The sequence below is a fragment of the Homo sapiens genome, chromosome 11 (assembly GCF_000001405.40).
Source record: "Homo sapiens chromosome 11, GRCh38.p14 Primary Assembly".
NCBI lineage: Eukaryota > Metazoa > Chordata > Mammalia > Primates > Hominidae > Homo > Homo sapiens.
In genome coordinates, this window is record NC_000011.10 from 47138353 (window position 1) to 47150596 (window position 12244).

The following is a 12244-nucleotide window of genomic DNA, read 5'->3' on the forward strand; positions in this document are numbered from 1 at the left end:
CTCAACACCTGGGGATTACAATTCGGGTTGAGATTTAGGTGGGAACACAAAGCCTAACCATATCAGGGGGCAAGGGTTGGCAGTGACTTGTGATGAAGAGAGTTGAGGTTGGGGACTGGAAGGGCATAAAGGTGATAAAGCCCCAGTTGAAGGAAAGGCACATTATATTATTTATGCCAGAAGAAGGTTTTCAAGATCAGTCCAGAACCAGGACTTGGCAGAAATAGTTAGAAGCCCCTAATTTCTGTGTTGGGTTTCACCATCATTCACAATTTTTAACCACATGAGGTAATTGGACTATGCCTCAGTTAACTTTTACTTACTTAACTCAAAACCTGAGCTAGGCCAGACACGGTGGCTCACGCCTGTAATCCCAGCAGTTTGGGAGGCCAAGGCAGGCAGATCCCCTGAAGCCAGGTATTCAAGACCAGCCTGGCCTACATGGCGAAACTCCATCTCTACTAAAAATACAAAAAATTAACCAGGCACGGTTGCGCTTGCCTGTAGTCCCAGCTATTCGGGAGGTGGAGGCAAGAGAATTCGCTTGAACCTGGGAGGCGGAGGTTGCAGTGAGCAGAGATCGTGCCATTGCACTCCAGCCTGGGCGACAGAGCAAGACTCCGTCTCAAAAAAAAAAAAAAAAAAAAAAAAAAAAAAAAACCTGAGCTAGGGTTGCAAATGGACGTACAGCAAAAATCATGTTTATCGAAGAATGCCTACCTTCCCTATATCATACTGAATGCATTTACCTTCATTGTTCTATTTAAATTTGTTTACCTTAACTATCTCACCTAATCCTTGTAAAAACTGTTACTTCCCTTTAAAATGATCCTTTGTGGTTTCTGTGGGGAGCCTCCGGCTCTGAAGACAGAGTTGGAGGGTGGTGAGAGTATTAGGCAAACAACAAAACACACACACAAATACATACCCACACTCCCACACACACCCCTAGAGGATATTCTGAGAAAAGAGGAGGCAAGGGTTGGCAGTGACTTGTGATGAAGAGGGTTGCGGTTGGAGACCAGAAGGGCCTGAAAGCAGCTGGGCGTGGTAGCTCATGCCTGTAATCCCAGCACTTTGGGAGGCCGAGGTGGATGGATCACCTGAGGTCAGGAGTTCGAGACCAACCTGACCAACATGGTGAAACCCTGTCTCTGCTAAAAATACAACAATTAGCCTGGCGTGGTGGCAGGCACCTGTAATCCCAGCTACTTGGGAGGCTGAGGCAGGAGAATCACTTGAACCTGGGAGGCAGAGGTTGCAGTGAGCCGATTGTGCCACTGCACTCCAGCATGGGGGACAGAGTGAGACTGAACGTCAAAAAAAAAAAAAAAGGGAGCATGAAAGTGATGAACCCCAGTTGAGGGAAGGGTACTGTTACTGCTCACTTCACTGAAGTGGGAACTGAGGCTCAGACGGGTGACAATGTTGTGCGAATATACTGATAGCTTGTAAGTAGCAGTGGCAGAACTGGAACCGCAGTCAGCCTGAATCCAGAGATGGGGGATCGGGAGCACAAGGAGTCTCTTCATGCTCCCACCTCCCTGTGTCATGGCATCATTTCTGCTTTGTGGTTTGACCCACTGAAAACAAAGCTGCATTGGCTGCACTGCACCAAGAATCACCTCGCTCCTTTTGAAATGTGCCAACCAGCTCCTCTATTGACTTGGAAGATGGGAACTCCATTGCTCCCAGTGACAGACACCAGCCTCACGGTGGGGCACGGTGTTTTGCAGCTAACAGCTCATGACCTACTTTTGCTGGTCATGTGCAAAACCTGTTTAGTGATCACACATGCAAAATTTTGTAGGTTTTTTTCTCCCTCATTATTCAGTGGATAATTTTCTTTCCTGATGGCAACTGGCCACTGGTAAAAGCCGCAGTTCAGGTTTTATAATTTTAATTTATCTGCTATCCAAAGGAGATTTGGATATTTTTTTTCTTCACTGAAAAAAAAAAAGTATGGGAGATTATCTCTTGTAATTTAAAAGCAGCCAAATGGAGTTAGCTTTAAATTTCCATGATCGTTCCCCTTTGGGCAGAAATCATTTTATTAAAAACATTTTTGTTTGTTTGTTTGTTTTCTTTGAGACAGAATCTCACTCTGTAGCCCAGGCTGGAGGGCAGTGGTGCAATCTTGGCTGACTGCAGCCTTCACCCCGCCTCTCCCTGGGTTCAAGTGATTCTCCTGCCTCAGCCTCCTGAGTAGCTGGGATTATAGGTGTGCACACCATGCCCGGCTAATTTTTTTTTTTTTTGTATTTTTGGTAGAGACGGGGTTTCACCATGTTGCCCAGGCTGGTCTCAAATTCCTGACCTCAAAAGATCTGCCCACCTAGGCCTTCTAAAGTGCCTGGGATTACAGGCATGAGCCACCACAGCCAGCCTGGGCCCAGATTGTTTTAAGGAATATTCAGCCCCAAAATCTGGGGAGATAAACTCAGCATCCTTAAAGACCGAACTTAAGGCCGGGCACGGTGGCTCACGCCTGTAATCCCAGCACTTTGGGAGGCCAAGGCAGGCGGATCACGAGGTCAGGAGATGGAGACCATCCTGGCTATCATGGTGAAACCCCATCTCTACTAAAAATACAAAAAAATTAGCCGGGCGTGTTGGCGGGTGCCTGTAGTACCAGCTACTCAGGAGGCTGAGGCAGGAGAATGGTGTGAACCTGCAACAACTATATCCTATATTCATTTGTTCATTTGTTTATTCATCAAATGTTTCTTTTTAACAGCTTTTTGGGATACAATTCACATACCATACACTTCACTCATTTAAAGTATAAAATTCAATTGCTTTTAATATATTTCCAGAGTTGTGCATCCATTACCACAGTCCATTGTAGAATGTTTTCATTACCCTAAAAAGAAATCCTACACCCCTTAGCCATTACTCTTCAGTCCCCACTCCACCGTCTTCCCCAACCCTAGGCAACCCCTAATCTACTTTCTGGCTCTGTAGATTTATCCACTGGGCATTTCAAATAAGTAGAATTGAGGCCAGGCACAGTGGCTCATGCCTGTAATCCCAACACTTGGGGAGGCTAAGTGGGGAGGATTGCTCAACATGGTGAAACCCCATCTCTAACAAAAATACAAAAACTTAGCCAGGCGTGGTGGTGTGCGTCTGTGGTCCCAATTACTTGGGAGGCTGAGGTGGGAGAATTGCTTGAGCCTGGGGGGCAGAGGTTGTAGTAAGCTGAGATTGTGCCACTGCACTCCAGCCTGGGCAACTGAGTGAGACTCTGTCTTTAAAAAAAAAAAAAATCAAATAAGTAGAATTGTATATGTGGTCTTGGCCAGGCATAGTGGCTCACGCCTGTAATCCCAGCACTTTGGAAGGCTGAAGCAGGAGGATCATTTGAGGTCAGGAGTTCAAACCCAGCCTGGCCAACATGGTGAAACCTGTCTCTACTAAAAATACAAAACTTAGCTGGGCATGGTGGTGCACATCTATAATCCCAGCTACTCAGGAGGCTAAGGCAGGAGAATCACTTGAACCCGGGAGGTGGAGGTTGCAGTGAGCCGAGATCATGCTGCTGCACTCCAGCCTGGGCAACAGAGCTAGACTCTGTCTCAAAAAAAAAAAAAAAAAAAAAAAAAACCACGACCAGGTGCAGTGGCTTACGCCTGTAATCCCAGCAGTTTGGGAGGCCAAGGTGGGTGGATCACGAGGTCAAGAGATCGAGACCATCCTGGTCAACATGGTGAAACCCCATCTCTACTAAAAATACAAAAATTAGCTGGGCGTGGTGATGCACGCCAGTAGTCCCAGCTACTTGGGAGCCTGAGGCAGGAAAATCGCTTGAACCCAGGAGGCAGAGGTTGCAGTGAGCCGAGATCGCGCCACTGCACTCCAGGCTGGTGACAGAGTGAGACTCCATCTCAAAAAAAAAAAAAAAAGTGTTTTTTTTGTGACTAGTTTCATGTTTTAGGTTGGTGTAAAAGTAATTGTGGTTTTGCCATTATTTTCAATGGCAAAGACTGCAATTACTTTTGCACCAACCTAATAGCACAATGTTTTCATGGTTCATCCATCTTGCTGTATGTATCAGTACTTCATTTCGCCAAATGTTTCTTGAGTGCATATTTTGTGCCGGGAGCTATTCTGCAAATGGGGATACAGTCATGAATAAGATATAGTTCCTGCCCCTCAAAGAACTTGATATAGAAGGGGACTGCTTAGGTACTGGTCATTGGCTGCCACCACTCTGTGACGTATGACCTTGGTTTTGATCAATCACTCCAGAATACTGACCTCTTTTCCCTTTCCCATGATGTGAGGGAGCTTATGAGAGTGAGGCTTCAAAATGCATCTTAGCCCCCCGCAGCCACAGCTTTGCATTTGCCCCAGCTGTCTCCTCAGACCCTTCCAAACAATCTGATACATGAAAGCACCACAAGATTTGAGTGTAGGTGGTAGAATCCTGTAAGAACCAAAAATTCTCGATACCAAGGTAGAATTGTACAGTTATTGATACCAAGGGGCTTCTGGAATGGTATTCCTCTATTTGCGGCTGGAAACTTACCCACTCCTCACCTAGAGGCCTGCTGTTTGACAGACACCTCAGACCTTTCTGTCTGAGCAGGAGGAAGCATCGTAGCCAGTCCATATCAATAGCAGTCTGAGGGAATTATGGGAATGGCAGTAACAACAGAAGGGCCAAGGGTAACCCACATGGCACTGGCTGCAGTTAGAGATGAATTCAGAATTAGGATAAGTTTGTTTTCTCCCCGAGTATGAGCATCAAGCTTCTGTGTCAACTTCTCCTCCCAATGCCATGCTTTCCCCACTGTACTGCAGCTGGTGCATATGTAGAAAAATTGTATGTATCCCAGAAAGCATCCCCTGATTTTGTAAACTATTCTCATTTTGTCCTGAAGATCAGGGTCCCAGCTTCCCCACACACATACCTATGCATCTGATCAGAACTGCAAATGGAGGTGGTAGAGACTTCAAGGCAGTTACTATTGCTAGAAGAGGAACTGCCCTCTCCCATTTCACTGCCAGGCTTACTTTATTCAGGACACTGAAGTCTGGGGACAGGCTGCAGAAGCAGGCTCCAGTCTGTGATGATGTGTGCGTAAAAGAATGTAATCCACATGCAGCTGGAAGCCGGAGCCTGTTCAGGGGCATGGTGTCTCCACATGCGCCTGCCTTATGTGCTACAAGCATCATGGCCAGGCCCTGGGGCAGCAGGTGTGAGCTGGAAAAACAGGAAAAGAAAAAGCAAACAGACTCCATGACAGCAGCCAAGCCAGAGATCCCCTCCACCTCACATATTCCTGCAGCAACTGGAGTAGTTCTTTTATCCCCAGATGATCACCACAGCATCTCCCACTCCCCATCCTCCATGGACTGGAAGCTTTCTGGATGGTTAAGAGCATGCAGTTGGAACCAGACTTCTTGAGTTCAAATCCTGGTTCCACAATATACTAGCTGTGCCCTTGAGAAAGGTATTTAATTTGAGCCTGTTTCCTCACTTGTAAAATGGGAATAATAATAGTTGTAATGATTGAAGGAGAAGTATATGATGTGCTTAAAATGGTGGCTGGCACAGAGTAAACTTGTCATAATCGTTAGAAATGGTAATATTAACCTTGACCTAGAAGAACACAGGCCCCATGGCATTAGAAAGATCTACTGTACATCCCACCTGTGCCCCATTAACTGGATGACCTTGAGGATATCTCTTAACTTCTCTGAGCCCTGTTTTTATATCTGTAAAATGGGGATGATAATAATAATAGTAACTAACTCATAGGGTGTTTGTAAGATTTCAGTAACACCAACAAAACCATGAACACTGCTTACCACATTGTAGACATTAAATCAGTAATAATTTTTTTTTTAGATGAAGTCTTGCTCTGTTGCCCAGGCTGGAGTGCAGTGGCGTGATCTTAGCTCGCTGCAACCTCCGCCTCCTGGGTTCAAGTGATTCTTGTGCCTCAGCCTCCCAAGTAGCTAGGATTATAGATGCCCGCCACCACGCCTTGCTAATTTTTTGTATTTGTAGTAGAGACGGGGTTTCACCATGTTGGCCAGGCTGGTCTCGAACTCCTGACCTCAAGCGATCTGCCTACCTCAGCCTCCCAAAATACTGGGATTACAGGCATGAGCCACCACGCCTGGCCAGTAGTAATTTCTTGCTGTTACAATTATGTTGGTATTATTAATAGTACCAGATTAAAAGAAAAATGAGATGTTCCTGGGTTTCCAAAGGCAATGCTTCCTGGCCTTTTTGCACTTCACAGCAATCAGAAAATAATATATAACAAAAATCTCCAGTAAAGACAAGACTTCTTGTGATTGGCCTGCAGGCTCTGGCCTCCTCCCAGCTGGGCCAAGGGGACCATCACATCTGTAAGTCATTTGAGGCCGAAGTGACAAAGGGTTGGGAAGCTCTGCTCCAAGGGTGAAGATTTAAAGCACTGGTTCTCAAACTTGAGCATGCATCAGAGTCACCTGCAGGGCTTGTTAAACCACACATGGCCGGACCACATCCCCAGAGTTCAGTAGGTTTAGGGCGGGGCTCAATAATTTATATTTCTAAAAAATTCCCAGGTGATACTGATGGTCTGGGAAACACACGTTGAGAACCACTGATTTAAAGTATTGCCTGCCATTTTTTTTTTTTTTTTTTTTTTTTTTGAGATAGAGTCTTGCTCTGTCACCAGGCTGGAGTGCAGTGGCATGATCTGAGCTCACTGCAACCTCCGCCTCCCAGGTTCAAGCGATTCTCTCGCCTCAGCCTCCCAAGTAGCTAGGACTACAGGCACGCACCACCATGCCTGGCTAATTTTTGTATTCTTAGTAGAGACTGGGTTTCACACTGTTGGCCAGGATGGTCCCAATCTCTTGACCTTATGATCTGCCTGCCTCGGCCTCCCAAAATGCTGGCATTACAGGCGTGGGCCACCGCACCCGGCTGTATTGCCTGCATTCTTATTCTGGCTGGGCATGGTGGCACACGCCTGTAATCCCAGCACTTTGGGAGGCAAAGGCAGGTGGATCACTTGAGGTCAGGAGTTCGAGACCAGCCTGGCCAACATGGTGAAACCCCGTCTCTACTAAAAAGAAACCCCATCTCTACTAAATACAAAAATTAGTCGGGTGGGGTGGCACGCACCTATGGAATCCCAGCTACTCAGGAGGCTGAGGCAGGAGAACTGCTTGAACCCGGGAGGCAGAGGTTGCAGTGAGCTGAGATCGCACCATTGCACTCCAGCCTGGGTGACATAGCAAGACTCTGTCCCTCCCAAAAAAAATTATTTAAAAAATGTTATTATTTTTTGAAATGAGGTCTTGTTCTGTCACACAGGCTGGAGTGCAGTGGTGCATTCATAGCTCACTACAGCCTCAAACTCCTGTGCTCAAGTGATTTTCCCACCTCAGCCTCCTGAGTAGCTAGGACCATAGGCACGTTCTACAAAGCCCAGCTAATTTTTTATTTTGTAGAGATGGGGGCAGTGATCTTGCTGTGTTGCTCAGGCTGGTCTCGAACTCCTGGCCTCAGGCATTCCTCCTGCCTCAGCTTTCCGTAAATTATTTTATTTTATTTTATTTTATTTTATTTTAAGATGGGGTCTTGCTGTGTTGCTGGGGCTAGACTCAAGCTCCCAGGCTCAGGCAGTTTTCCTGCCTCAGCCTCCCAAGTAGCTGGGACTACAGGTGCACACCACCACACCCAGCTAAGAACTTTTTAATAAAGAATTCCTACAAATTGGCTGGGCACAGTGGCTCACGCCTGTAATCCCAGCACTTTGGGAGGCCGAGGCGGGTGGATCACCTGAAGTCAGGAGTTCAAGACCAGCCTGGTCAACATAGTGAAACCTCCTCTCTACTAAAAATACAAAAAAATTAGCCGGGCATGGTGGCGGGCGCCTGTAATTCCAGCTACTTGGGAGGTTGAGGCAGGAGAATCACTTGAACCCGGGAGGTGGAGATTGCAGTGAGCCGAAACCGTGCCACTGCACTCCAGCCTGGGCAACAAGAATGAAACTCTGTCTCAAAAAAAAAAAAAAAAAAAAGAATTCCTACAAATCAATAAGAAAAAGATTAAGGATCTCAGTAGAAAAATAGTCCAAAGATATAAACAGGCAATGCACAGAAGAACATTAGTAATAAACCTTTGGGCATATTTTCATGCCCACACTCACTAGTAATCAGGAAACTCCCAACTAAATTGAGATACCACTTCATACCTATCAAATTGGCAAAAATTTTAAAGTCTCATAATACAAATATTGGTGAGGATGTGAAATAGTGGGAACTCTCATAAACTGTGTGTGGGAGTGTAAATTGTTACAATTACTTTCAGACAATTTAGGCAAATTTTTAAAGTTCAAGAGCTACTCCTGGGAATAAGGAAACATGCAGTATTGTTTGTAATGGCCGCCATTGGAACAATCTGCACGTCCCTCTGCTGAAGGAAAGAATAAAGTGTGGCATATTCATACCATAGTTGTGGAATTCTTTCCAGCAGCTAAAATGAATAGCTATATATGCATCAATCCTGATGAATCTCAAAATATCAAAGTTACAGAATGACACAGAGTTTGAGAAAAAGCAAAACAAAGCTATATAATGTTTTAAGAACACAGACATTTGCATGAGTTAATTATAGTATAAAGACATGCAGAGGAATGCTAGACTCCCAAGTTTTAGTAAATCATGGTGATCCCCCCAGGAAGAAAGGTAGAGGATAGGATGAGGGAGGGGTGCACAGGTGGCTGAAATGGTATCTGTAATGCTGCATTTTACAAAGCTTTTAAAAACTGAAGCAAAGATAGTAAGACGTTATGGTCTGATAAAATTGGCTAGTGGGGACACAAGTGTTTGTTATGTTATTCTCTGTAGTTTTCTGAGGTTCTAAACATTTCCTTTAAATAAAAAATGATGGGGGGATTAGGTAGAGAGCAATGAGAGCAAAAAGCATTTCAGGGAAAGTAAGCAGCATGGAAAAGAAGCTAGGCTCTCACCAATGATGGCCTGGAGGAACCAAGAGAAGCCAGTAGGTCTGGAATTTGAGGCATTTGAGGGCAGAGGGAGGGAAAGTGGGGCTTTACAGGCCATACATTGGGTTTGGGTCTTTATTCTAAGGTCTGTGGACCAGTTCACCCCTAGCTCTCAGGCTTCTTGGGAAGTTCCAGAGTAATGACACCTTCAGGCTGTCTACAGGGAAGCAGCAGCACCCAGGCCAAATCTTCCAGTCCTTCTGCGGGCAGCTGCTCTAACAAACACTCAGGCTGGGAGAAGGGAAAGGGGCAGCAGGAAGGCTTCATTACCACGAGACAGCACAGAGTCCACTCTTTCTTACCAGAAGTGGCTGCAGGTGGTCTCGGAACTGTGACTAGCGTCAGAGAGGCCTGTATTTGAATTATAGCTTTTTTGCTCCTAGTTTGTAACCTGAGTCAGGTTTCTTAATTCCTCTGAATGTCTGCGTTCTCCATAAAGATACTCACTGAACTGACCTCATAGGATTAATACGAGCAGAAAATGAACTTATGGGTGTGTAGTGCTGACAGAGTAAGCCCTTGGTGAATATTCACTATTATTATCATCATCATCATATTGTTTCCCACACCCTCTGGATCAAGCGTCTTAGGCATTTCAGGGCAAGTAGGGTTTGGGATACCCTGGAGGTGCGGGCTGGAGCTAGGGCAGAGCAATGACCTGGACACCCCACGCCACTTCAAGGCCCTAGGCTAGAGGCAGCTTGTGCAGCACGAGTGTGCCTCCAACACAGTCCAGAAGAGGAGCAACCCTCAGGAAATGGCCCAGGACACCTTCATAGCGGCCTTTTTCCTCCCACCTGGAGAAGGTAACCAGACATCGTGTCATCGCTGCTTCTCTCATGGCCCTGACATTCAAACAAAAACCCTAGAGGTGCACTGTGAGCCCAAACAGACATGGGGACACCCTTCAGCCACCCCATGACTGCCACCTTGACCTGGGGACACCCTTCAGCCACCCCATGACTGACACCTTGACCTGAGGACACCCTCCAGCCACCCCATGACTGACACCTTGACTTGCGGACACCCTTCAGCCACCCCATGACTGACACCTTGATTTGGGGACACCCTCCAGCCACCACATGACTGACACTAGTCATGTGACCTCCTCAAAGAAGTCCAGTCATGGAAAGTGGCTCTTCTTTCTGGCCGTGGCTGAGGGCTGGCTTCCCCCAAAAGTAAACTGGAAACTAGATCGCTGGCTTCTGCCTGAGACCTCTGCCTGGTGGATGCTGGCAGCACGCATTTCCTCTGGGCTCTATTTTTATTTGCTCTTTTGGGCTCTCCCAGCACTTTAAACCAGATAGAATATACTTACTGATTACAGCCGGCGCTCATTCTGAGCACCTGTTAGACACTAGCATATATAACATCATCATGCTGACTCTCCACAAGAATCCTGGGAAACAGGAACTATGATTATATCCTCTTCACAGATGAGGAAACTGAGGCTCAGAGGGAAATTGTCACTTGGCCAGTGAGTAGTGGAACTAGGACTTAATCCTGGGGTCAACTAATCCAGAACTTCAGGAAAACCGGTGCAGCCCGTGCCACTAGACCAGGGAAACTGACCCTAATTAGGGGTGAATAGGAAGTTGGCAAGTCAGTAGGTTCAGGCTGGAAGCTGTTGCTTCCTTGGCACCCTTAGAACTCCCAGCCAGACTGCCTATCCCAGCTGCTGGAAGTCAGCAGGGGAGGGAGAAAGTGGCCAGTCTCTCAGACCAGCCACGTGCTCTTTCTCCACTCCAGTTGCCTGTCCTAGGCTCCACCCCACACATGGTTCTGCTCAGCACAGCCTGAACCAAAGTGCCTCTACTTCTCCCCAAGAGTCCCTCTCTCTAGCCCGGAGGCATGGTCCGCAAGGGTCCCTCCATGATCCAATAGATTTGTGCAGACTCTCACTGGCAGCAGCTCCCTGTTGGCTCCACTTCAAAGCAGGGGCGGCCGGGCACCTCCAGGTGTCAGAAGCAGCTGGCACGTTAGCAGAAGGCCTCTGGCAGGAAGGGGTGTTGAGCCAACTGCCAGCAACTGGAAAACAGCACATGGGGATGACCTCGTCTCCAAGAAGATTCTTTCCCGAGCCCTCTGGGAGTGGCAATGAGCTTGAGTTCAGAAGGAAGGAGCTGTCTGTGGGGATAGAAGGGTTGCAGGCAAAGGCAAAGAGGCAAAGACAGACCAGGAGCTTCCTGCTTGCCTTTTCCCATAGTTCTGCTGAGATTCCAAAGCAAGATGCAGATGCCCACAGCCAGAAAGATCCCATAGGTGGGTTAAAGACACAGATGCCTAGAACTTTCATGGTCTCAGCATTCATTTGGAGACAGACAGCACAGCATATGATGTGATTAAAAGCACCTTTCAGTAAGTCTTCTGCAGCCATAGACCTCTGAACATCAAACTGTCCCCCCACTAGATTTAACACTAACAGGAGGAGCTGTTAGTTCTGTCCACCCTTGGGACAACACTGTCAGAGCTGGAAGAAGCCCTTTGGGAAGTATGAGCCTTCAAACTTCTGCTTGAACATTTCTGGCAATACACATCTCATTCCTTTACAAATCAGCCACAATCCTAGAACTAAGCAGCTTGAAAATGTCTCTAGAGCCAAACTCTAGATCCCCGTGGCATCTCCCCAAGAGGCAGTCCTTTGAGAGTTGGGTCTCAGCCTTCACTTCCTCCCTAGTCTTCACTTCTAAGCAAAAGATCTAAATGCAGCCATTTATCCAGTATCCTGGTTTTTAGACTGTCCATCAGCCTGACCCTCTTCTCCAGGACTCTAGTTTACTCCCCTTAAACGGACTGTCCAGACCTGAAGGTAGTAGTATTTGAATGACAGCTCTTTTGCTCCTAGCTTGTAACCTTCGCCAAGTTTCTTAATCCCTCTGAATGTCTGCATTCTCCATAAAGATTGTAAGTATCTTTATGAGAGGGATTAAGAAACTGCTCCAGGTGCCACCTGGCCAGAGGAAAAGGGGACCGTGGCTTCTCTCACTCATTTGTTCATGCATTTCTTCATTCAACAGACGTTGACTGAGTGCCTACTATGTGCCAGACACCATACCAGAGTCAAGCCACAAGCAGGGAGACAGAGGTGTCACTTGGTAGATCTTATGTTCCCAGGACAAAGACAACAGTGTGAGGAGGTTTCCGAGAACTGCAGAAGCCAGTAGCAGGGGGGCCTATTCTAGGCTGGGTTAGAAAAGGTGCTTTCCTCTTTCATCTTCCCCAAG

The 12244-nt window shown here is 46.8% G+C and overlaps 1 protein-coding gene across 7 annotated transcripts in view; it reads left to right on the forward strand.

The window, feature by feature from the left end:
* The window catches only part of CSTPP1 (centriolar satellite-associated tubulin polyglutamylase complex regulator 1), a 227697-nt gene that overhangs the window by 201664 nt on the left and 13789 nt on the right, over window positions 1-12244 (forward strand). The gene's annotated exons all lie outside the window — the stretch shown is intronic.